This window comes from Homo sapiens, chromosome X (genome assembly GCF_000001405.40).
Source record: "Homo sapiens chromosome X, GRCh38.p14 Primary Assembly".
Classification (NCBI taxonomy): Eukaryota; Metazoa; Chordata; class Mammalia; order Primates; family Hominidae; genus Homo; species Homo sapiens.
The window spans coordinates 33,897,962-33,925,358 of record NC_000023.11 but is presented as its reverse complement, the minus strand read 5'-3'; the positions used below and the strand labels follow the sequence as shown (position 1 = coordinate 33,925,358).

Sequence of the window (27,397 nt, the reverse complement as noted above, 5' to 3'; positions counted from 1 at the left end):
CCTGTAATTGTGTATATCAATACACAATTTGCAACATTATAAAGATTCTAAAATTAGTCATGTTACCATTTATTTCATATTAACAAATGTAAATTTGTTTACAAAAGTTTATAGAACATGTCTAGTACATTGTTTTTATTTTATGCTAGCATTTAAAAGATGAAGACAAATAATATTTAAAACATCCTCATTTGCACAGAAAAAATTATAAGATTCTATTTATTACCCACCTTACATTTCCCAACTTTGCTATTAATAAAATTTTGAAAAAATCAATTAAACCTATACATTTTGCTTAAGTTAAAACTTCAGCTGCCACTAACATTGTTTTGCTTCAGAGTCACAGTGTTAATGTCAAGATAAATTACATATAATAGCTAAATTTTATGAAAGTAAACAATTTTTTAAATATTTCTTTTATACTAATTTCATAGGTTACAGGAAAATAGGTTTTTTTAACATTGATTTTTAGGTCTTTTGAAGAATCTCTCCATTTCTAAAATCATGATTGGGCTGACAATACTCAAATACATTTTGTTACAGGTAGTTAGACAGGAGAGGGCTCCACCCACCTACCAGGAATATCAGGTGATGATTTGACAATTATTACATTGGTTCTCTAAAAATGATAATTGGCATCTGGCTCCAAGGAGAGGCCATTTCCTGATGGTCCACACCTGTTGCCCTAAAGTGTTAATTGAATGTAGACTCCAGGAATAAGTAACTTCCTGGGCATGTGCATTAAGAGGCAAAATGGCAGAGAATCGTCTTCTGTTGGGCACTCCACTAGAAAAGGGAAAAAGCCTCAGATAGCCATGCACACAACTTCCTAAACACACAGTGCGTGCTGACTTTCAAACAGTAAGGAGGGCACTGAGCATGCAGACAGCCCACCCTACGTGAAGAATCATGGGAAAGGGGTGCAAAACACCAGAGATGGGTCAGCCTATAAAGTCCTAGGATCATGGTTCAACACTGCACTTGTCCTTCAAGTCACCTGCTTGGGTATCTTCCAAGCATACTTTCCTTTCTTTCCTGTTTGAAAGCCTTTTAAAATAAACTTTCACTCCTGCTCTGAAACTTGCTTTGGTCTCTTTTGGAGAATATGTTCCTCAAATTCTTTCTCCTGAGGAGGGAAGAATTGAGATTGCTGCTGACCTATACAGATTCACCACTGGTAACACAGATACCTTCCACTGGTAACATATTTGATGCCAAGTGACTCAGATATTGATATTTGCCACCACTAACATATTTGGTGCCACGTGACTCAGATATGTTCCTTAGTGGTAAGATATCTCTATGCCTCGTCTTCTTTGGCTGGAGGCATCCAACTCCGTGTGTGGTTTTTCCTCTCTCTCTCTCTCTCTCTCCTGCTTACTAACCAACCCCCAGAACAATTCCTCTTGGCCTTAGGTGACGATGCTTTCCCCAGCAAATTTCTCAGCTCACCCTTATAGGTGGCTCCTGTGGGTAGGAAAGACCTTAGGGTTCACAATGAGAAGATTAGAGGCACTAAATGGCCCTCTTAGACAGGAGGGTCCTGAGAGTGGTGAGGCTAAGGCTTACAAACTATGCAATGTCTGGGGATGCTTCTGCTTTTATTTCTTCCATCTAAAATCAGCTCTTTTCCAAAAACCTGAACTGCTCAATTTCCTGTTTTCTCTGTATGTGTGTTCTGAAATGGCTTTGGACATCCACTGGACCTTCCACCTTGGGGACAAGCCTGCTTCTTTGCTTTTACTTTGCATGCCATGTGACTTCTTAAATACACACTCCCTGTTATTGATGCCCCCATGGTTCTCTGCGTTTGTGCAGCAGCAAAGTCATGGACTCCCTTGCGAATACCTCTGGAGGTTTATATTTGTTTTTTGCCAGTTCAGATGACCTTCAATCCTTCCCATCCCTGCTGGCACATGGCCAGGACACTAACTGGAACCTCAGCTCTGCCAGCTTCTTAGAACTCACCAGGTGCTTTTCATTGCTGTTATGCCCAAGGGCTAAGTTTTCTGATAGCTATCATAACAAGCTTGTCTGGCTGCATGTGGCTTCACTCTGGCCCTTTAAGGATTCCACCCTCTTGCCTTTTTAGCCAGCACGACTTTGGGAAGAGGAGAAATTCTTACCCCAAGCCCCAAGTCCTCCGGAGGTTACTGCTTTATGTCCAGAGGGTGAATACACATGACCCTCTGGAATCCAAGAGCAGCTATTTTCAAGAGCATATGAAGCCTTTCCATGAATATTTCTCTCACTTCCTTCTACTTCCTCCTGCAGCCTCCATTTCTCTAATTACTTCCATGCCCTTCTCAACCTGTATCAAGATCTTCAAGGTCATATTCTAAGGGAGGAGGGAAAGAAGTCCAGTCCTTGCAGCAGTTAATGGAGAAACATTCTTCTAAGAAAAGGGATAATCATTTTATTCGTAAAATGCTCTGAGTGAGGGTCACTCTAAGGTTATGGAGACAAGGAGGCTGGCCCAAGGCCACAGATGCAAGAGACCCATAGAACAGAGATGAAGGGTGGTCCCAGGCTAACAGATTACCATGAGAACAGAGATGAAAGGCTGGGGGGTGGTACACAGTGAGGACCACTTAATTCTGAAACTCCAGGAATGAACAGGGACCAACTGTTCATTCCAATATCTCCTCTGTTCTCAAGTGGGTAATTGTGACAAGATGGGACCAATGGTACATGGTAAAGACTGCTTAAGTCCAGAACCCAGGATGATGGGGGACACCCCATTTGGGATAATAGGAAGAAAGGGGAGATGCCTTCTTTTTTCTTTTTCCTCTTTTTTTCCCCTCTGTTCCCTCTTCACAAATGGCAGATGAGTAACTGTGTCTTCATACCACAGGACACACCCCTTGGATGCATTCCCTAAAAATGGGAAAAGTTTAATTTTCCCTAACCTTAAACTGTTTGGCTTAAAAATGAACTGGTAGGAAATTACAAAAGTCAGCCTTGCAACACAGTGCTCCTGTGCAGGGGGTCTTCAGATTAGGTTCTTTAGTCTTTTATAACCGAGAGCAGAATAAGGAGGACAGGGATAAACCTGTTGGGTGAGGCAAATAGCATCCCCTCCCTCAAAAAGAGATTCACACCCCTTTATATCACTTAAGGGACCAATTACCATTCTCTCAACAGTGCCTTGTAAGGTCTGGCTACCCCTCACCTCTTTGGTGCAAAAATGTACCCTCCAAGATGGGTGTTCACTTAATATTTGTCCAATTCATCTTCCTCTCTAATAGCCCTAGCAAAAATCTAACCAAGTAATCACTTGAGGAGAGCTAAATTCTACAGTATGTAGATAATGTCTTTACTCTCCCTTCACAGGGCCTGCATAGCAATGTGCAGTACAAACTTTAATTTTTTAACAGAAGGAAAATGACTTTTGCCTAATTCAAAGGTTATAAAGGCAAAGAGGTATTTTTGGTAGAGAGGTTATAAAGAAAAGAGATTTTATATAAGAAGGAATCTTATTGTCCTAAAGTAAAATGACTGGTTGTTTAAAAAGAGGGATATTTAGGACAAATCAGAATGTCCGAGCATGTCAAAGATGGTCAGTGTAAGCCGTGAAAGGATTCATGAAAGGTAATTTATACAATAAATGTTATACAATTTAATTGTTATTAGACCTCCTCAATGCTTCACTATGAATCTTAACTATACAACTTGCCTGCTTTACAGGTAGGTAAGACCTGGGGATATGTGGAGTTAGCCACACCCCTAGCTATTCTCAAAAGAGTCAGATCTTATCTGTACCTCTTATCTGCTCCAAACCAAGCACATAATTAAAATTGCTTACTAACTAGGTTTTTCACCAAAAGTTGCTAAGAGTTCTTTCTCTGAGCTGTATTCATATAAATATGTTATTGGTATGTGCTCCAAAACTATGGAATTCTAATACAACTTAGTATATGTTATTAATAATTAAAATTGTTATGTAAAACTGTTGTGTGCCACAGAGGTAACACATTTCTTTGTCAATTGTTTCTTTAACTGTGGCTGCCCTAAGACTCTTGGTCATTCATAGACAATTGTTGTCTTGTTTTAATCCTCTTTAAATGGTGGTTTTATAATCAGCTATACAACATTAACAGGTGTTCTTAAATGCAGATTTCTGATAACTTTGGAGATTGTGACATTAGAATAAAAGAAAAATCCTTCATGACTCTCATGGAGAGCTAAAATGTTCATGAATATAAAGCAGAATAGCAGTTAACTGAATGAAGTGAATTAACAGAAGACTGAAGTAATCTTTTTTGACTTTTTGTTTAAAATGTTGCTGATCCTTTGCTTTGTTTTTCAGAGTCAAGGAAACTTTTCTTTTGAGCAATTGACAGATTGTAGCAATTGAGTACAGGATATTCCTGTGAACAAAATTTGTTGCATATTTGCTTCTCTCTACCTGATTTCTCTATAATTTGGAAACTATGTGTGAGTATTCTTAACTTACGGCAATATGGTTATTTGCATAAGTGCATGAGAATGTTTTCTTTTGTAACAGGACAATTGGAGAAAAGGGTTGTCTTACCAAGGCTTTCACTGGAATGGCATGCTTTCCTTTAAGGAATCAAATTTGACTTATAGAGCCAATAAAAACCCCTTGGGAAACCTGGCTTCATACCTTGTCTACACAGTCCTGTACAGAGTTGCTGACCTGTGGTAAGTAAAGAATGTCACTTTCTAACAGATCAGGAGGTCAAAGTTATTTTGGGACCTCAAGAGAAGAGAAATTTACCCCACTAGGTATTTGATGGTACAAATCCATGGCCGGCCTGGGGTTTAAAAAAGTCTTATCTGAGATTCCTTCTATGGAACAAAGTTCCATCAAAGCCAAGTTAAAAGCCTATGTGAAAAATAACTATTCTTGTTGCACTTTATGATAATAATGAGGCCAAGTATAATAAGACTAAAGTTTATTTTTTGGACAAATCAATCCTATCATGATTTGTTTTTAACAAAAATGAGGACTAGAGAGACAGAAATTATGTTTCAAAAGTTATGGTACACCTATCATTAGATTCTAGTCTCATCAGTTGTTTTTAAGTTTTTGTCTGCATTTTAGAACAACCCTGCTTATTCCTGTGAACCAACCAGTGATCTCTTGCTGCAGCTCAGAAGAAATAAACAGGATGGGTAATGTAAAAATCTAGATAATATTCTAATTACGGGCACACATTGGAATTGGCTAGCAGCTCAATGCATCCAAGTTTTAGCAGGCATGTCTATAGCTACCAGTTACCTTAGCATGTAGTGTTGACTGCCTCAGGATTTTTTGGAGCTGTTTTCACTACCTTATTTCATTTTAACATTCTTCTAATTATAATAACCTAATTTGTCTCCTCTGCTTTAGGCCATCATGCTCCAGAAGATTCTCAGTGAGGGATACTGTCCTCTAAATTTTCAAGAGGCACCCTTCTACAGGGGACCCCTAGGCTGCCCATCAGTGGGACAGGAAGGATGTGAAATCCTGCCCATCTCCCTTTGACCTGGCTATACACTGCTTTCACCAACACACAGAGTCACCCTCCTGCCCTCACAGCTAGCAAGAGGCCAAGACCCAGAGAATCACCACCACTTTGTCAGTGGGAGGTAGTTATAGAACACTGACCACCAAGTTTACCCCAAAGATGTGGGGTATTGGGCTCTTGACAGGGGGAATGTTACAGACAGTTAGATAGGCATGAGTAGGGCAGAGGAAGGCTTCCCCCACCCACCAGGAAAATCAGGTGATGGTTCGACAATTATCACATTGCCTCTCTGAAAATGATAATTGGCAGCTGGTGCCAGGGGAAGGCCAGTTCCTGATGGTCCACACCTGTTGCACTTAAGTGTTAATTGAATGCAGGCTCCAGGGAGAAACAACTTCCTGGGCATGTGCATTAAGAGACAAAATGGGCCAGGCGCAGTGGCTGGCGCCTGTAATCCCAGCACATTGGGAGGCTGAGGCGCGCAGATCATGAGGTCAGGAGATCGAGACCATCCTGGCCAACATGGTGAGACCCCCCCGTCTCCACTGAAAATACAAAAATTAGCTGGGTGTGATGGCACACACTTGTAATCCCAGATACTTGAGAGGCTGAGGCAGGAGAATCACTTGAAACCAGGAGGCAGAGATTGCAGTGAGCTAAGATCACGCCATTGCACTCCAGCCTGGCAACAGAGCGAGATTCTGTCTCAAAAAAAAAGAAAGAAAGAAAAGAAAAGAAAAGAAAAGAAAAGAAAGAAAGAAAGAAAGAAAGAAAGAAAGAAAGAAAGAAAGAAAGAAAGAAAGAAAGGAAAGAAAGAAAGAAAGAAAGAAAGAAAGAAAGAAAGAAAGAAAGAAAGAAAGAAAGAAAGAAAGAAAGAAAGAAAAGACAAAGAAAAAGAGAGAAAATGGTAGCGTATGATCTTCTGGTGGCACTCCCCTGGAAAAGGGAAGAAAGTCTCCGATGGGCATGTGCACAACTTCCTAAATACACTGTGTGTGCTCACTTCCAAAGGATAAGGAGGGCACTGCACGTGCAGGCAGCCCAGCCTAAGGAAAGAATCATGGGAAAGAGGCACAAAATGCCAGAGTTGGGCCACCCTATAAAGTCCTAGGATCAAGGTTCAGCACTGCGCTTGTCCTTCAAGTTGCCCACTTGGTTTTCTTCCCAGCATAATTTTTTTCTTTCCTGTTCTAAATCCTTTTTAAATAAACTTTCATTACTGCTCTGAAATTTGCCTTGGTCTCTTTTTCTGCCTTGTGCTCCTCAGTCAAATTCTTTCTTCTGAGGAGGCAAGAATTGTTGCTGTAGACTCGTACAGATTCACTGCCAGTAACTTGGATACCTTCTACCAGAAACAATTTGAGATATCATGTTTAATAACTATAATGCTTCTTTTCCTCCAGTCCATTAACTCTATGTAATTAATATTACTTATTATATAGGTATTTCAATTATTTTTTGTGTTTATTCTAGGAAAACTTTTAACACAGCAATTATGGCTCTATGATGCTTGTTTCTTCAGATAGTTCAGGTTATTGTGCTTTATCTTATCAAAAATGCAATACTGTCACTAAAAGGCAAATCATTTTATTAGAAAGACTAACATATCAAAATGGTAAAAAAAAAAAAAAAAAGTTGAGAGAACTTATAAAAGCCCAATATAAAAAAACATACTGTTTCTGGAACCCTACTCTTTTGACTCAAAACTTAGGTAACCTTTCATACCAGCACACGATGTGCTACCACTATGAACATATTTTTCATTCATTTTACAGGCCAACAATTTGAAATCCATTAAATTCCTCCAGATTTATAAAAATTTAGTCTAGCAATGATGCTTCTATCAGTCAGCTTAATATTGCTATAAAGCAAACTAACCCAAAACTCAGTGGAATGTAAGAATAATCATTTATATCTCACTTACGCATCTGCAGTTTTTCTGGGGGTCATCTGATCACCAACACGTGCCTTTTCTGTGTAAGGATTAAGCAAAGGGAACTCCATTATGCTGAGTGAAGATTTAAACTTGCCTGTTTGGAAAATTGGCTGTTATCTCTTTTTTTCCTGATTTCTCAGAAGGTCACATAAGAACTTAGTTTGGGTATGTTAACATAGAACTTTAGCACGGGTGGCTCTACTTTCATTTCTAGTCTGGTCTGTTAAGGCCTAGTGCAGAAGCTTAGTCCAAAATAATGGTCTCCTAAAATTTTTATTTTACAATTCCCTTCTTTCTGCCAGGTTCTCACCTAGGTGAGACATCACCATAGGACATCATTGCTACTCCTGGTTACCATAATTTTGTGTTTGTTGTCTTAGCATGTCATTTATGGGTTACAGTGTCCTCCTCATTATTATGCATTTCTTTGAGTTTTGTTGTTATAGCCAGAGAGAGAATATTTGATGTTTGACCGATGGCTATATAGAAACATTCAAAACTTTTTAGGTGGATACGGCACACCAGGAAGACTACTGTTATGACTACCAGGAAGATAATAACAAGAGTTTGGAGTATGCTTCTTAACCACCGTCCCCGTGAACCAAGCCAACTAAAATTAAATAACCAGACAAGGAGCTTACACATTTGAACCAAGTAGTCCACTCTATAATACCCACTGTATTTATCCATGTTGACAATAAAGGTCATCATCTGCATAGATTTCTCTCTATGAAAATAATAGGTAATCTAGCATCCCATGACTGGGTTAAATTAAAGCAGGAAGTACAAGTTACTTGCTAAATCTACTGAATGTGAAATTTTAACTACAGCATTTTCCTGCCAAGTGAAAGAGGCAGGCATAAGGAAATATTAAGAGGGGTAAGAGTCTCAACATGACAGAAAATCTTGTTCTGATGGTCTTGGAAATGCTGTCCACAGCATGAAGTCAGCAACTTCTTGTATTGGTTTGAAGTTTAAATGTCTCCAGTTGTGGCATAGGATATTCTGGTGAACTCTATGGAACCCACAGATCTGGCATGAGACTTGTTCCTTGTAATTTACATAAAATTTGTCCAATTTTGGCTTATAGGGCTTCAGTAACTGAGCAGTTTTCATTCTTCATTGGAAAGTTGTAGCCATATATTAGAGAAAAGTAGAAGAATTTAGAATTTAGAATCCAGTTACCTATAAGTAGACAGGAAAAACTAAAAAACAATGAACAGCACTGCAATCTAATAACAGGTGTACTGAGTTTTCTTTTGGAAAATAATTTTTATCTCTATAGTGACTCCCATTTCTACCAAAGATGATCATAGTAAGACGAAAGTGGTTGCAAAATAAATTTAGTGTCAAATTTAGCCTGATTATTTATGTATTTATGTGGCAAGAATAATTAAATACATCCCTTTAAAATTTGCCATGCTGGAAGTTTTGACAAGGAATTTCAGATTGAACTTTTAAAAATCTCTCAATGCTAATAAGCCAAACCAAGGCAGACATTCAATGTTTCATTCTGTATCTAATGTCTTGATGTTTCTGAGCCTTCCAGGAAGTGAAAACTTTTGCCCACTCACTCTAAGGCCAGAAATTTTTGAAGCCAGGCATTCTCAAATGGGAAATTTTCAAATATAACGTTCCAGTCAAAGCCTTGGCAATATAACAATGTTTTCAAGAGTATCTTGTTATAAAAAAACATATTTTGTATTGAACTTATACAAATAATCATATTGCCATAAAAATAAGAATACTCACAAATACTTTCTGAATTCTGAAGAGACCAAGGAGAGAGGAAAAGAAAATGTTTCAATTTTTGTTTAGAAAAGTATGTTTTTCCAAATTTTTGTAAGCTATAGAGAGATTAAAGGAAACAGCTTCTTAAATCTTGAAAAGAAAACACTAACAGAACCAGCAAGGTTTGAAATGAAGCCTTAAAAGCCCATTTTTTGGTCATCAGTTTATTGTCTCATGTAATTAATTCTAGCTCTGTTCTTGTTTAGCAGTTTAACAAACCCATCAGTTTCTTCATTAGAATTTTGAAAATTCAAGTAAACTTATTAGAAACTTGTACTTTTCAGAGGTTTTTTTATTCTTTCCATGAAGCTGCTTAAAGACAGAAAACTTCAGGATTATAATTGCTTGCAAGAAGCTTTCAGAAAAGCATAAGAATAAAGGAATTCACAGTAGACATCAAGAATTACAATGGACATGGCTAAAAACCTGATGAGAGTTCATTATAATAATAACACAATTGCCAAGACATTTTGTTATTTCTAAAGCAAAATTATGACTAATAGCATCTCTACCAAGTTATATTAGATTTCTAGGAACTTTATACAGTTTTAGAACACATATTAATAACATATTTATATTAATATAACTTGTAGAAGCTTAAACATCATTTTTTATTTTGTCAATGCTTCCCATGTAATTTAACGTATCACATTAAATCAACAGGTTTAATATCTCTCTTTTACAGATCCTTGGAGAAATTCCAGGTATCACTGGAATGTCCCAACTTTGCTTGGAGATTAAAATGATTTAACATTGATTTTTGAGAAGTTTGTCAAATATCAAAGATTTAAAACATTTGATCAAAATAGGATCATAGGTCACTAGGAAATCAAACCAAACTGCTAAAATATTTAAAGCCACAAAGCACAATAAATTATCTTAAAAAATAGAATCTCTGCCTCCTAGGCCAGTTATCTAAAAAGTAAAAATAGACCTCTCAAAATTTCCTCTTAAAGAGCGTTTCAATGCTCTGAAAAAATTCTGTTGTTCCAACACATGGGCTCAAACTTTATCCTTGCATTAGTGTATTTTGATATTAACATTCAATTTCTAGAAAGAAACATAAATAATTCCCTTCTCATTTTACCCATCTTGATCACACATAAAATTTCTTTCATGACATTTATCTTCCACAAATCTTCTACAACTTGCTTAAACGTTCGGTTTTGTCTTATACTTCTTTTATAAAAAACATCTTGGCATTCTACCTTATTGTTCCCAGACAGAATGGGGTCTGACTGCTTATTCTTGAAGTCCAATAACGAGATGCAGACAGACTGGGAAAGAAGGGAGTTCATTTCTGCAACCAGTTACAGGGAGAAGGTTGGAGTAACTCACCATACCAACTCAAAATTACAAGTTTTTCCTATGGTTTATATACATTCAGTGCACCTACAAGCTGAAAGCCAAAGTGTTTCACTCTGTGTAATCTTCATCTGGAGTCTGGGGTCTGTTTAGACAATTACTTCAGAGATTTGGAAAAATTACTTAAAGTGGGTCCTGGTACAAAGTGTGCAAGAATGCCTCCATTATTTTAATTAAACTCAAAGGTCTGAGAAAGCCCAGGTGGGGTCTTAACGGGCTTGTTTTTATATCCTAGCCTTTGTACTAATGCACCAGTTTCTCCATTTCTTTAATGTTTAACTTATACATTCATCAGAGTTACAGTAAGGTGTCAGTAAAGGCTGGCGGCTCTGGTTGCTGATGGAGACCCGGCCTGCCACAATCATCACTGTCAATTTGTGCATGATTTCCATCATGTTAGTTTCAAGCATTAATCTATTATGGGTTAGTACAGAGTATAAGCTATAATATAATAGCAGTAAGGGCAGGTGGATGACTTATTCTCTCTGGCTACTTCCTACTGAAGAGGGTCATCGTCAAGAGACATTGGAGTGTTAAATATCTACTTGCCATTGGTAGTGTTCTTGGTTTCGGGGACTCAAAGCCAGTGCCTGTTGAAACATGATTTTATGAGCTCAGGGAATGTTTTGGAACAGCGTACAACAACAATATAGTCCACAACATGGTGTTATGCCTATGCCTATGCCCAAGAGGGTGGCTAGGACAACCAGAATTTTCTGCCACCAAGAAGGTCCTTCACCCAACCAAGATGCTATTAATTTATTGAGAGACAGTGCAGAGCTATAGAGGGCTTCAATCTGTTGGTTCATATTCTTTAAAGCTAAATAAATGTTTTCTGAGTTATTGGGAATATACATACAACATTCAGTTTTACCTATAGCTCAAGAAGGAACCTGTGCCCTGGATTATTTAAAGTTTTATTTATAGGCCATTCAGAAATACTTTTTTTCTAGTTATCCCCCTCACCTGCGACCCTGCCCATTTTTTATGATTTTCTAGGAAGTAACCCAATTTTCCTTGTATGGGGGGAGACCCACCAAAGCAGTCCTGTGGTACTAGAGAGGGGTAATAGATCCAGCAAGAGTCTTGCTGTAGGCTATCTGCATATTCTTGTGCCCATTATAGGAAAAGGTTAGAGGTGTAAGCAGAAACAACAAGAGGAACAGTGAAGAAAAATATTATAAAAGAATAGCTTATCATCTTTTGAACAGAAACCTTAGGCCTTCCATGGGTTCCAACTCCCATTTGGGGGCCTTGGTGTCCTCTGTCATGGATGTTTCATCTAGTAGAAACTTCTTTACCCATATGTGGTGGCTTGATGCCCACCAGTTTCAGTGCCGAATTGGTGGTCAGCAACACGTTGTAGGGTCCTTCCCATTTCTCCTGTAGTTGTTGAGTTGGGCCCTCCATTCTTTAGCAGTACTTGATCACCAGACAATGCTCCAGATGGAAGCAAGCTTATGCAAAATGTTAAGAATTTGTCCCAAATGAGCAACATCCTGCTTAATAGTTGACTTTCTATTAAGGACCACCCTAGTAACCAGAGACAGATTAGCGGCAAAGGTTCTCGTAATATATAATTTCATAGGGACTTAACTTACTCCTACTTCTGAGGGTCACTTTTACCTGGAGCAGTGCAATGCCAACTACCTGAGCCTATCTTGGTTGAATTTCCTGGCGCAGTTTGGCAATAATTGTTTTTAGTGTTTGATTTATACTTTTAGTCTGTCCAGAAGATTGTGGTCTCCATGCTGACTGTAGTCTCCAATTTATTCCATGTGCCTTGTATACTTGGGACAACTGCAAGTCTCTCACAAGGATAATCAGTTCTGCCTTCTGTGCAGAGGTTCCCATTGGTACAATCTTTGCTTCTATTACCTCTGAAAAGGTTGCCATGGCATATGCAGCATTTCTTTTCCCATTGGCTACCAGGCTGTTCCCATCCACAAACAATATCCAGTCTGCATGCAGCAAGTCCGTATCCTTTAAATCAGGGCAGCTGGAAAACACTTGATAATGATTTCCAAACAATTACGCATGGGGTCCTCTGATTCCTTGGTAGGATGTAGTAATGTAGCTGGGTTTAGAGCTCTGGTGGTTTGTAATTTCATAGTGGGGTCATCTAAGAGTCTGCCCTGGTATTTGCCTAACCCATCAGCTGTCAGTCAATAGCCTCTCTTTTGCTAAAGTAGCACTAGTACCTGATGAGGCATGTAGATTGTAATAGGCTTTCTCAAGGTTAGCTTTTCAGCCTGCTTTAATAATAGGCAGTTGGTGGCAAGTGCTCTCAGACAGGGGGGCCAGCCTGTAGCCACTGTGTCCAGCTGTTTAGAAAAGTAGGCCACCAGCTGTCTTATTTCTCCTAACTTCTGCATAAGGACCCCGAGCACTAGACCCAGTCTCTCATGCATACACAGTTGAAATGGCTTATGAGGATTTGGGAGCCCCAGGGCTAGGGTGGGGGTTAACTTATGTTTCAGTTGTTTGAATGCATGCTGGTGTTTTGCTCCCAGTCAAAGATGTTATTGTTAGCTCCTTTAAACAGTTCAAACAGTGGCTTTACCAGTAGTCCATGGTTAGGAATCCATATCCAATAGACAAAACCCTGCCACATCTAGAAATCCTCTCAGCAACCTTCTGGTAGTGGGTGCTGCAATGGAAGTGATTGTATTTTACCTTTCCATTGTTAGAGCTCTGGTTCCCTTCTGTAAGAAAAAACTTAAGTATTGCACAGTTTGTTGGCATATTTGAGCCTTTTTACTTGAAACCTTATACCCACAGGTTGCTAGATGGTCCAAAGTTTTAATAGTATTATTGTGATATTCCCATTCACATGGGGTAGCTATTAGTAAATTATCCAAATATTGTAACAGTATTCCATTTCCCAATCTTAAACTCCTTAAATTTCAAACGAAGGCTTTTCCAAATGTAGTCGGAGAGTTTTTAAATCCTGGTGGGAGTACAGTCCAGCAATATTGAAACTGCATTGCGGCTTCAAGATCTGTCCATTCAAAGTTAAACAACAATTGACTTTCTGTGTCTATGAGAATGCAAAAGAAAGCATCTTTTAAATCCAATAGTATAAACCCTTTATGATCTCCAGGAAAATAAGGGAACTTAGTATACATGTTAGTTACACTGCGATGTACGTCCTCTACAATATCCCAATTTGGGTCCATGTGGTGAATCGCCCTGTCAGGATCTGGAGTGTCATTTGGATTTTCATTATGAAGATGTTGCGCCTCTTCCTTTGCTTTATTTAAAACCAGATACCTTAATGTTTAGGAGAGCCTGCACATCTTAGGTGGGACATTGTGTAGCAAATATAGTGGTATTATAGGCCCAATAACATCTGGCTGGAACTCCTTGCTGATTGACTCCTACTGGGTATTATCGTAGTGGGAATAGCCCTGCTTTGGACTCGGTGACTCCCCAGCCAAAATTAGTACCTTGGTTAGTCCGAGAAGAAGACAGTAGCTCTGCTACTTCCCTGTACTCTGGCAGTGACATTCCTTCTCTTTCCTGAGATGGGAGGGCAGCCACTATGGGGTTTAGAGTGTTCATTAACTGTTGGATTTCAGAGGTTTTTTCTCTCTCCCCTTGGGAGTCGGGACAGACTTTAGCAGTGTACTGCACCATTAGCTTATTTCCATTTTCTTTACCATCCTTATTAAGCAGTAACATAAATGCCTGGACATAATGTATTTTGCCTCATTTTCCTGACCTCTGGCAGAACAATTCTAATTGATAGAGGGTATGAAAATTTAGAGATCCAAAACTGGCCACCATTTCACAGACCCCAAAACATACATTGACCAAGCTCTGCTACAATAGATTATTTTTTTAGTCATGGGTGGATAACCAAAGTGCTTCCAATCTGACAAAATTCTCCCCAGAGGACTATTTGTAGGAATAGATGCAGTGTTGCCCATAGTGAGTACTCTAAACTTAACAAATATCAGACAAACAGAACAAATTTTCACAAACAAATGCAAATGAATCCTCAAACAAATGCAAAGCAGTTACACAAACAAGTCATATTGCTTTCTCAATGGTACCAAAACAAATGGCTACGTGAGCCCAAATAGAGGAAATAATAGTCTTCTGGCTTACAATCCACTTACAATCCAGTTTGAATGATCCTTCAAGCATGTTTGCTCCTAACCTCTGCCCTTACCCAGCAATAGAAGGATGGGCAGTCTTTGCATCAGGTAAGCTCAGGACAAACTGTACCTGGCAGGTGCTGGGAGTTTCCCAGTGACCATCTCGTTGCAAGAGGCTGGCCACTGAGGGCAGCTCCCTCCTGTCTGGCTTGCTAGATTTGTTCCTGGACAGAACAAGGTCCGGCTGCTTGCTCTCACGGTTCAATAACAAGATGCAGACAGACTGGGAAAGAAGGGAGTTCATTTCTGTAGCTGGTTACAGGGAGGAGGTTGGAGTAACCCACCAGACCAACTCAAAGTTACAAGTTTTTCCTAGTGCTTATATACATTCAGTGCACCTACAAGCCGAAAGCCAAAGTGTTTCACTCTATCTCATCTTTAACTAGGGTCCAGGGTCTGGACAATTACTTCAGAGACTTGGAAAAATTACTTAATCTAAAGTGGGTCCTGGTACATGGTGTGCAAGTATGTCTCCATTATTTTAATTAAATTCTAAGGTCTGAGAAAGCCCAGACAGTATCTTAATGGACTTGTTTTTACATTCTAGCCTCTGTACTAAGGCACCAGTTTCTCCAGTTCTTTAATGTTTAACTTATACATTCATCAGAGTGACACTAAGGTGCTGGTAAAGGCTGACGGCTCTGGTTGCTAATGGAGACCTGGCCTGGCATATTAGGACAAACACCTATTTTCCCTTCTTCCTCATCATTTTAACCATGCAAAGTTTTCTCTCATACAAAAGTAAATATTACTCTCACTTTTCATCCCTCTTTACCAATAATGCCTCCTCATACTTATAACTTCTTTTCACATCTCTCCTACTAACTAGTACCTTCCTGCCTTGTTTCTATTTCCTTCCCAATTCTGTATTTTGGAACAATCTGTAATAATCTCTGAATTAAAAAAATGCTCTTTCTAAACAAAAATATATCCTTCTATTTTTTACAATTTTTCTCAGCAAAAACACATCTTACTTTCCTTCTATACTTTGCATACAGAATTTTCCCCCTACTTCTAGTAGTTTTAATTACACATATAGTTAGAATTCTTAACTCTCAGTAACTTTAATTTTTTGTGACAACCTAGGAAATAAGCAATTTTGAACTCTATCAAACCAACATTTTTTAAATGCATATTTTACAATATTTAGAAACATGCACTTCCTCACAGAACAATTTTTAAAAAAATCTTTACTTATAGACTCAAATATTTAGCTGCTCTATACCATATAAAAACAAAATGCCAAAGTATATAAACTTTACACTTAGGCTTAATCAAAATGTTTTCGTATTTTAACTTTTTTAGAAAATGACCCAGACATTTAATGAGTACCTATTACTCAATTTCACTTTAACGTTTCATGGTACTGTGAAAGAAAAACAAATCTTGGGACCCAAAATTACTGAGCTAAAGGGAGAAGTCAAGCTGGGAACTGCTTAGGGCAAACCTGCCTTCCATTCTATTCAAAGTCATCCCTCTGCTCACTGAGATAAATGCGTACCTGTCTGCCTCCTTTGGAAAGACTAATTAGAACCTCAAAAGAATGCAACCCTTTTTCTCTTATCTACCTGTGATCTGGAAGCACCCTCCCCACTTCAAGTTGTCCCGCCTTTGCCTTTGCTTCCAGTTGTTCCACCTTTCCAGACTGAACCAATGTTCCTCTTACATATATTGATGTCTCATGTCTCCCTAAATGTATAAAACCAAGCTGTGCCCCTACGACCTTGGGCGCATGCTGTCAGGACCTCCTGAGATTGCATCCTTAACCTTGGCAAAATAAACTTTCTAAATTGACTGGGACCTGTCTCAGATATTTGGAGTTTACATTATCAAAAAAAAATTGCTTTTAAATTATGAAGAATTTATGAATGTTTATGCCATTGATACTTACCTAATATACTGATTTTTAACAATTATGTTAGAACTCTTTTGGCAAATTTTATGAGACGTGAAACAAAACTAGCCATTATTGTTGATTAAAAAAGACTCAAACTCTGTAAAATATTTGAAGAGATTTATCCTGAGCCAAATATGAGTGAGAAATGGCCCAAAACACAGCCCCAGGAGATTCTGAGAACACGTGCCCAAGGTGATTAGGCTACAGATTGGTTTTATACATTTTAGGGAGACATAAGACATCATTCAATACATGTAAGATGTACATTGGTTCACCCAGAATTCTGGAAAGGCAGAACAACTAGAAACAGGGAGTTGGGGGCTTCCAGGTCATAGGAAGATTCAAAGATTTTCTGATTGGCAATTAGTTGAAAGAGATATTATCTAAAGAGCTGGAATCAGTAGAAAGGGTTAAGATAAGGGTTTCTGGAGACCAAGGTTTTATCATGCAAATGAAACCTCCAGGTAGCAGTCTTCAGAGCTGTAATTAGACCTAAAAAGTTGCCTGAGTCTTAATTAATTCTCTCCTGGATCAGAGGAAAGACCTGGAAAGGAAAGGGGATTCTGTACAGAATGTAGGTTTTCTTCACAAGAAACAGCTTTGCAGGGCCATTTCAAAATATGTCAAATAAATATATTTAGGGGTAAAATACTTCTTTCAGGGCTTGCTTTCTGTTATGTGATGCTATACTAGATTCAGGCTTGAATTGGGTGTCTTATTGCTATAAAAAGTCTGTTTTGTCAGTCTTAAGATCTCAGTTTTAATGTTAATGCTGGTCAGTTGTTCCTGAATTCCAAAGAGAAGAGGGTATAATGAGGCATGTCAGATCCTGAACTAGATTTTCAATTTTACTTTCAAATGCCCTTGGACTAAAGGGGGTATCTATCTGTAGGTTGGGGGGAATCTTAGAATTTTATTTTTGGTTTACATCATCTTAACCTATTTCCCTCTTAGCCATTTTCTACAGCATGTAAAAGTTAGGCAGTCACCACCTCCTAAAGTCAAATATATGTTGTTTTCTGATCAGAAGACACAGCTCTTTTCCAGTCTTATTTACCAAAATTTTACCCAAGTCACACGAACCAAAGCATTTGAGTTAGGTTCTTTTTTTATGGTAAAACATGTTATTTAAGCACTTACTTTTTTCTTTAAGTAAATTAATTAGAGCTCTCTCACACATTTTGGCAGAAAAGTATCACATATACATAACACATGTAGACATACAGACACTCAGGCAGAAGTGTAACCGCCCAACACAATCACCTTGCCCGCTGCAGAGACAGAGCTGATTTATTAAAACAGGGGAATTGCAAGGGAGAAAGAGTAATTCACACAGAGCCAGCTGTGTAGGAGACAGGAATTTTATTATTCCTCATATCAGTCTCCTTGAACATTTAGGTAACAGAGTTTTTAAAGATAATTTGGCAGGTAGGGGCTTGGGAAGTGGGGAGTGCTGATTGGTCAGGTTGGAGATGGAATCATAGGGGGTTGAAGTGAGTTTTTCTTGCCGTCCTCTGTTCTTGGGTAGGATGGCAGAACTGGTTGAGCCAGATTACTGACCTGGGTGGTGTCAGATAATCCATCCAGTGCAGGGTCTGCAAAATAGCTCAAGCACTGTTCTTAGGTTTTACAAGACTCTTGGAGCCAGAGGCTGCATTACCCCTAAACTGTAATTTCTAATCTCGTAGCCAATTTGTTAGTCCTGAGAAGGCAGACTAGTCCCCAAGACAAAAGGAGCTCTTTTCAGGAAAGGGCTATCATCAATTTTGTTTCAAACTATGAACTGAATTCCTTTCCAAAGTTAGTTCTGCCTACACCCAGGAATGAACAAGGAAAGCTTAAAGGTTAGAAGCAAGATATAGTTGGTTAGGTCTGATCTCTTTCACTGTCATAATTTCCTCAGTTATAATTTTTTCAAAGGCAGTTTCAGATGCACATCTTATAGCTCCAATAAGATTCTTTGTCATTTTTCAAACAGTTTCCCTCCTTTAGACAAACATCCCGGATGAAACCATGTAGTCAAATTTACAGAACATAGATCTAAACACTATTAGTTGCAGAAAAAAGAAAGGTGTAGATAAAGGCCCAATTAAGACAAGCCGACTAGGAAATGTACCTTAAAGAAAGGTAAGGTTTGTTGTATAAATTTTAAACCAATGTATTTTCCATTGTAAAAGTTTCTAGTGTTTTAGGTGCAGAGAGTGAAATGCCCTTATAAATGGAGATTGCCTTTATAGGTGTAAATATCTTCTACAAAGAGTTTCAAAATAGCTAGATAAATGTCAGAAAGTTGTATTTTGGAGACCATTCAGTTTAATAGTGGTCACTTTAATGTTGCTTATTTTTACATTAAATTACCAACTTCAAGGCTGAGCCCTTTAACAAGCAGGGCAAAGCATAACCAATAGAAACTTGCAGGAGCTTCCCTTGGAGGCCACTCAGTCCTGGTGTTTATCACGGAGATTATCAGAGGGTAGTAGCCTGTTTTCAGGGGCTTTCTTTGAAAACTTTGGGGTAGTCCCTTTTCCAATTTACTGGTTGTTTGCACAAATGGCAAAAATTCTTTAGAAACTGTTGTTTTATGGGTTGCTTATTGGACAAGCGGCCTAGGGCAGGCCTAAAAGTCATTCTCAGTTGTTAATTGCCATGGAGCTGAAACACTTTGGGAATGGCTTTCTTTTTTTTTTTTTTTTTTTTTTTGAGATGGAGTCTTGCTCTTATTGCACAGGTTGGAGTACAATGGCACGATCTTGGCTCACTGCAACTTCTGCTTCCTGGGTTCAAGCAATTCTCCTGCCTCAGCCTCCTGAGTAGCTGGAATTACAGGCGCCCACCACCACGCCTGGCTAATTTTTTTTTTTTGTATTTTCAGTAGAGACGGGGTTTCGCCATGTTGGTCAGGCTGGTCTCGAACTCCCGACCTTGTGATCCGCCCGCCTCGGCCTCACAAAGTGCTGGGATTACAGGTATGAGCCACCGTGCCCGGCCGGGAATGGCTTTCAAAAAATCATTTGCAATTGGGTCCTTAATACTATTCTCAGGAGAACACTATTCTGCCTTTTTTATCCTTTTTGGAACTCCCCAGTTCTCACCAACATGTTGTATGGTTAGCAGAGGTCAGGTATTTCAGGTTGAAAAGTTACAATTAAGGCCCTCAATTCTTTAGAAAACTTTTGAAGGTTTTCTGTAAGTTTAAGAAAATTTTTAACTATGGCTTTGAACTCAGTTTTTTTCTAGGGAGGGTAAGTCACTTGGGGATTACCTCCTGAATTTTTGTGTGGTTCTATCATAAGGAGAGTGTTTAACATTTCTTTTCAGGGGAAAAAATGTAATTCAGACAGAGAGTGAATAGACTGTTGTATTAGTTCATTCTCACACTGCCATAAAATTACTGAGACTGGGTAATTTATAAAGAAAGGGGTTTTAATTGACTCACAGTTCCACATGCCTGGGGACACCTCAGGAAACTTAAAATCATGGCATAAGGTGAAGGGGAAGCAAGGTGCATCTTACTTGGTGGAAGAAGAGAGAGAGAGTGTGCAGGGAAAACTGCCACTTTTAAACCATCAGATCTCATGAGAACTCCCTCACTATTGCATAGATAACATCACTATTTTAGAACCTAAGATTGATCTTTTGGAGATGTTTTTAAGACTTTTGAATTCTGGCAACAGACTGACCCCAACTAGACTTGTGATTCATGACTCAACTGGTCCTGTGCACCCCGACCCCGACCCCCGCCCCAACTCAGAGGCAGACTTAGCGCATGAAGACTGTTTCCCACACCCCTATGATTCCATCTCCAACCAATCAGCAGCACCCATTTCCTAGCCCCCTGCTCACCAAATTATTCATCAAAAACCCTAACTTCTGAGCCTTCGGGGAGACTGATTTAAGTAATAACTTCATCTGCCATGTGGCTGGCATAATGTTAATTAAATTCTTTTCTTACTGCAATAGCATTGTCTCAGTGAATTGGTTTTGTCTGTTCAGTGGGCAGGAAGAACCTGTTAGATGATTACAAAAAGATCAGAGGGTTCAAACGCAAAAAACAGCAGAGCTCACACCTGAGAGGCATTTGGGGCTCTCTGGGCCCCATGAGGAAGAAAAAATACCATCACCCACAACAAAGGGGATTAGTGGTGCCTTTATGTGTGTTCCTCAAGGGGTCTCAGGGCTATCAGAAGTCTTTATCAAGTCCCTTGATTGGTCATCAATTCTGTCACAAGACAAAATTACAACAAATTTAGTTTAAAAATCTTAATTGGCTTTTTTAGCAATTCTAGAATCAGGCAACACTTCATTCCATACATTTCAGAATAAGTGTTCTGATGAGTTGAGCACAAGAAGTGACTTTATAGACAGAGAAGGGTTGAAGAAAGCAGAAACAAGTAACACATAGTGTTATTAGTCCTACTAAAGCTACTTTTCTTGTAAGGCAGGGAAGGGGAGACATAACAACGCAAAAAATTAGGTAACATCAGGTTACACTAGGCTACCTTTTTTGTGTAAGGATTAAAGTAGAGGAAATTTTATTATCATGACAATTGAAGATTTAAACTGCCCTGTTTGGGAAATTGGCTATTATCTCATTCTGACTGGTATGAGATGATACCTCATTGTGGTTTTGATTTGCATCTCTCTAATGATCACTGATGTTAAGCTTTCTTCACACGCTTGTTGGCCACACGTATGCCTTCTTCTGAAAAGTGTCTGTTCATGTTCTTTACCCACTTTTTTAATGGGAGTGTTTGGTTTTTTTCTTGTATATTTGTTTAAATTGTATATAGATGCTGGACATTAAACCTTTGTCAGATGCATACTTTGCACAATTTTTTTCCCATTCTGTGTGTTGCTTGTTTACAATGTTGATAGGTTCCCTTGCTGTTCAGAAGCTCTTTAGTTTAATTAGATCCCATTTGTCAGTTGTTGCTTTTGTTGCAATTGCTTTTGGCATCTTCATCATGATATCTTTGCCCGTGCCTATGTCCTGAATGATATTGCCTAGGTTTTCTTCGAGAGTTTTTATAGTTTTGGGTTTTATATTTTAGTCTTTAATCCATCTTGAGTTGATTTTTCGTATACAGTGTAAGGTAGGGGTCTAGTTCCAATTTTCTACATATGGCTAACCAGTTGTCCCAGCACCATTTATTGAATAGGGAATTCTTTCCCCATTGCTTGTTTTTGTCAGGTTTGTCAACAATCAAATAGTTGTAGTTGTGTGGTCTTATTTCTGGGTTCTCTGTTCTGTTCCACTGATCTATGTGTTCTTGTACCACTATCATGCTGTTTTGTTTACTATAGCCCTGCTGTATAGTTTGAAGTCAGTTTGGATGATGCTTGCAGCTTTGTTCTTTTTGCTTAGGATTGCCTTGGCTATTTTGGCTCTTTTTTGGTTCCATATGAATCTTAAAATAGTTTTTTCTAGTTCTCTGAAGAATGTCAAAGGTAGTTTAGTGGGAATAGCATTGAATCTATAAATTGCTTTGGGCAGTATGGCCATTTTAATGATATTGATTCTTCCTATCCATGAGCATGGAATGTTTTTACATTTGTTTTTGTCACCTCGGATTTATTTGAGCAGTGTTTTGTAGTTCTCCTTGTAAAGATCTTTCACTTCCCTTGTTAGTTGTATTCCCAGGTATTTTATTCTTTTTGTGGCAATTGTAAATGGGAGTTTGTTCATGATTGGGCTCTCAGCTTGCCTGTTGTTGGTGTATAGGAATGCTAGCGATTTTTTCACATTGATTTTGTATCCTGAGACTTTGCTGAAGTTGTTTATCAGCTTAAGAAGCTTTTGGGCTGAGACAGTGGGATTTTCTCTATATAGGATGTCATCTGCAAACATCTGATTTCTTGAAAGGTCAGATAACAACTTACTTTGGGATTGGGGATATGGAACTTAAGCATGGGTGACCCCATTTTGATTTTTAGTCTAGTCTGTAGGTGCCTAATGTGGGAGTTTAGTCCAAAACCATGGCCTCCTATAATTTGTATTCAATGCTTGCCAGTTGAAATTTAGATTTTCTGTAATCTTTTAAAATCTGTAAGAGTGTATATTTTTTGAATTTTCTATGTACTGGCTTTAAACACAGGATTGCCATGTTCTAAAGCCACACATCTACATGCCTCTCTCTCAAGACTTAATTATACATACCTTGGACCCATAAAGTTTTATTTTGTTCGCTATGTCTTATGGGCATTAGTCTAAATTTGTTTGATTTTTAACCTGAAGCTGTGTCATAACATCATTTTTTGTTTGTATATCACCCAGTTTTCCACTTTCTCATCTTTCTCTTTTAGTGCCTTATTATACGTAACTGGCAGCAATCAGTTTATGCTTTTAGCCATCTGCCTAGAAAATTCCCTCACCCAGTGTAAATGGTCATTCTGTTCATTTCATATCTTACACATTATGTCAAGCAACTCTTTTACCAAAACGCATTGCCTCTAAATAATACAAATTGCCTTTATCCCAGTCTTCTAAGTGAGCTTCCTTATTGCCTGCTACCTGGTTCCAAAACAAACAAACAAACAAACAAACAAACACAATAATTAAGTTTCTGTGATGGCACTCTCCTGCCTCTAGTATGCATTTCTGTATGAGTAATATATACTCACCATAATTTTGCCTAACAAGTCATTCCACTCTGTGGCTTATAGTAAGAAACATTAATTTTACATTCTCACATCTGTGAATTGTTTGGCATTCAGATGATTTAGGCTGGTTTAATCTGGGCTTTATCTCCAGGGCTCAGATTGGTTGAGGTCTGCTTCACATGCCCCTAATTCTTCTGAGACCCGCAGGCTATCTGGGCTAGCTGGACCAGCTTTTATCATGGTGATGGCAGAACATCAAGAGGGCAAGACTAATGCAAAAGAACATTTCAATCCTCTGCTTTCGTCATGCCTACTCATATCAGATATGCCAAAGCAAGTCACATATCCAAGCCCAGAAGGGGTTTGAGAGAAGCTAATCAAAAGGTAGGGATCATGATAGAAGCATTTAGCAAAAAGTAATAATGCCTCGAGTATATTTAATCGATACCTAATTATTTGACTTAACAAGTTGAAAATTACTAAGATTCAATATTGGGAAAAGCTTCGTGCAGAATAATAATTCCTCATATTTTTATAGCAATTTATAATGTTCAAGGAATTTGCATAAAGTACATGTCATTTGATCCTTATAACAATTTATTAAGGTAGATGGGACAGGTATAATTTTACAAATAGGTAACAGGCATGACATGACCTAAATGTGGCAAAGCCAAGACTCAAGTATTCTGAGACCCTGCATGTCTACCATAGCATGTCGCTTTTTCCATAGCCACTTCCAGAAGAGAAATGTCCTAAGAAAACAAAAATAATGAGAACATATGGGAAAGTTGCCATGGAAAAGCAGGCATGCTTCTTCTTTAGTCTGTATCATCATGGACAGTTGAACTTGAAGCTGCCTTTTCTTGGTAGGTTTATTCATAATGATTGGTAGAGTCCTAGAATTTCTGTTCTATTTCTTGAAGTTATCATAATTTTTTGATTCCTGTCTACCAATTTGTGCAATTAAATAGCTTTCCATTTTGGCTGCAAATCACCTTTTTAAAATTGTTTCAATAGAAAGATTTCAATATATATTGAAAACATTCTTCTAATTGTTAATTAGAAGAACAATTATTCTAATAATTGTTAATAACAAGGATATACAGGTGAACATATTCAAATTTCTAGCTAATAAATCTGAATAAATGTAGGACAGGAGAACATTGTAATACAGTGTTGACAAAGGCAGAACACCACATTTCAAATGCTTCCTCTCAAAAGTTTTTTTTAAATAGGAGAGATGACAAAAACAGCTCAAAAATCTATATTTTCATTATGGACCAAGCTTACATCCTATCTGTACTAATATAATTTATTTCACAAAGACATACTTTGTTTGTACATAGTGTTTGGGAGGGCAAATGTTAGTTTCCTTGTGTTGGAGAATTTACAGTTAGATTAGGAAACTCTGAGTCACATTGACCATTTTTGGCACTTGAATAGCTAGTATTTTTTTCTATTAAACACAAAGAAAAACAGAAGTCCATATTTTACTGTAAAGAAGGAAATTTTTACTCTATGTGTTGCAGTGCTTTATACTGAGCAAACATTTTTCATAAAAATAAGCATTCAATAATAAAATTATCAAAAGCAATTTCTTCAACTCACTTATTAATCAGATAAATTCTGATTGAGAGATATCTAAGAAACAGGAAGATCAGAACTGATGTGCAAGTTAGTTGATAAGAATTCATGAGAGTTATGTATAGGCACATTTAAAAGAGAAAATATAAGCTAAATAAGAATGAGCACTACATTTCAAGGCAGGAGCAATTTTTAAAAAAATAGTATGTCATGAACACTTTAGCAAGGTGGGTAAGCCCTAGGATAGCAACACATGAATGCTGAGGAAATGTGTCCTATTTGCTTGCCACTCTTACTTGTAATGGGGTTTTCTAAGTGCATCCTAAAGGCTTCCACTAAAGAACAAACTCAAAGAAACTTAAAATTTGTGATTGCTTGAGCAGAATAAAAAAAATCACATTGTAACTTCTGAAATGGAAGGTTAAATAAATTTAAAGTGAGATCTCTGCTTTATGGCATCAGTCTGAACATGATTTTGGGGGGATTAGAGATAAGTGAAGCCTAAGGCTGATTTAGATGAATGAATCTTTGGAAGCTGAGCCTGAAGAAGTCGAATGAAATACCTAAGCAATAAAACTATAAAATGGCACTTGAAGTTATTTTCTTTTCCCTCCTAACTATCAAAAGACTAAGAGGAAGAAAATCTACTCAAGGTGCAAGAGATATCAGTATGCTTACATTGGAAGTACATATAAATATACTGTTTAAGCTTGCTGATCAGCTTAGTTCCAAATGTATAGGGCAATAAATTTTCTGAACACTTTGAAGGTGCTCCATGTTTTTTAGCTACAAATCTCATCATTTTCCATCAAATATACAATCTTCTTTCGTACTGTCTCAAATATTTCTGGAAACATTTTGCTGCTTAGAATAAAAACAGTTTGGGTTTAAAAAGATTGTCTTTCTAAAATACACCCTTTTCCTCAATCCAGTCAGTCAAACATACATCTCTTTCAGGTTGATGTCATCAGAATACAGTTCTTATCAAAAAGAAATACTTATTAAATAGCTATCATATACAAAACATTGTACTGTCGATTTCAGGCAATATAAAATACAATCAATGATTACTAATAACTGATCATTTACTATATATCAGGAGAAATACCAAATGCATTATCTATAATATTTCAATTAATGTAAGAAGAGAACTATTTGTCAGGTATATTATGCTTCTTATTTCATACTCAGGTTAAGAAATCTAAAATCACACCTTTGTGAAAAGACTGAGCCAAGATTAGAATCTAAGCTTTCAAGGTCACAGTCAGCCCTCTTAAATTCTCTTAAATTTTGGTTGATATTAATAACTAGTGAGGCCGGTAGAGGAATAAGACAAAGCCCCAAAGCACAGATGCCAAGTACAAAATACAGGTAGATTTCTCAACAAATCCGACTTCCAAATAAGGTCACATCATCAAATATCCAAAATACATTGGACAAGTGCTGACAGGCCTGTTTAGCAGCAAATCTAGCCTGTAGTAAGGGTCAGAGTCAAAATAAAAATGAAGAGACTAATCTCTAAACTTAATGTTTTACTTGGGAAGAAAGAATTGCATGGTAGGGCATACATGCAGACCAGGTGGTCTTTGGTATGTCTCAATAACAAAGAGAAGGTTAAAGGTTTTATTAAAAGGAGAAATGTTACGTATTGCTCTTTGAGAAAGTTCTTTGACACTAGTAAGGGTTTGGGGAGTTGGTAAGCTCCAATTGGTGAGTTACAGTGGTAGGCGAAATTAGTCCCAGAGTTTCAGCAAGTTATCTCAGAAGCTATAGAAAAAAACTGGTTTTAGCTCACAACAAGCAGTTTTACCAGTTAGGCTTGCAAAGAGTTACTTGGAGCAATGTTTTGTACCCTGAATGCCTTTTCGCTTCAACTCTGTTTTAGTTGGTTGTGACAAGAATGACCCAATTCTTATGATCAACTTTCACATGTGGTGCCTCTTTTCACATATTTCAAAGAGTCCCCAAGTTTGAGTACCAGTACCCAGTGGGCAATCACCCACAGCTTTCAGGCACCTTTTTTGACTTGCCTAAAGCATACTTGTGTATGAGGCTAGACTGTGCATCAACTGACTCCTTGAGGATTCCAACTCGTAGGTTCCACCTGTCCATGCAGCTGCATGGATGCCTGTCTTGGCAATTATAGTTTCTGATCATACCATTGAAATCCTGGCCACAACAGAAAGATGAGGTCCTGAACAAGCCACCCACACCACACATACCCCTATTCCACTCATGTGCACTATTTGTTACTAGAGGATATCTTTGCTAGTTTTCTATAACTTAAGTGATTTGACAAGTTACAATAGAACATTCTTAGTTATGCACAATCAGTAGGGCCCAACAGCAAAACTCACCCAGCCCCAATTGATACAGTTCTTTAGTCTTAAAAATTATTTTGAATTACACAGCTTCAGGCCTTTTTTCTGGAGTTGACATGAGGCAAAATGGTATCTGGTCAGGAAAGGCATTCAGCAAGATTTTCCCAGTTGGCCTTCACACCAAAAATAGCTCAGATACTCAGCCCCAAATCTTGGAGTACATTTTTCTTAAGAATGACGGCTATTCCTTTCTACAATCGGAGTTT

The 27,397-nt window shown here is 38.0% G+C and overlaps 1 long non-coding RNA gene across 1 annotated transcript in view, besides 1 other annotated feature; it reads right to left on the bottom strand.

Annotated features, from left to right (window-relative positions):
- The window catches only part of LOC105373153 (uncharacterized), a 350,749-nt gene that overhangs the window by 151,756 nt on the left and 171,596 nt on the right, over positions 1 to 27,397 (bottom strand). The window lies entirely within an intron of this gene.
- Positions 16,761 to 17,313: an enhancer, noted in NCBI's record as "OCT4-NANOG hESC enhancer chrX:33926163-33926715 (GRCh37/hg19 assembly coordinates)". NCBI's record gives its function as "activates a minimal SCP1, AML or CMV promoter by ChIP-STARR-seq in naive H9 embryonic stem cells {active_cell/tissue: H9 hESC(naive)}" and the evidence as "EXISTENCE:reporter gene assay evidence [ECO:0000049][PMID:30033119]".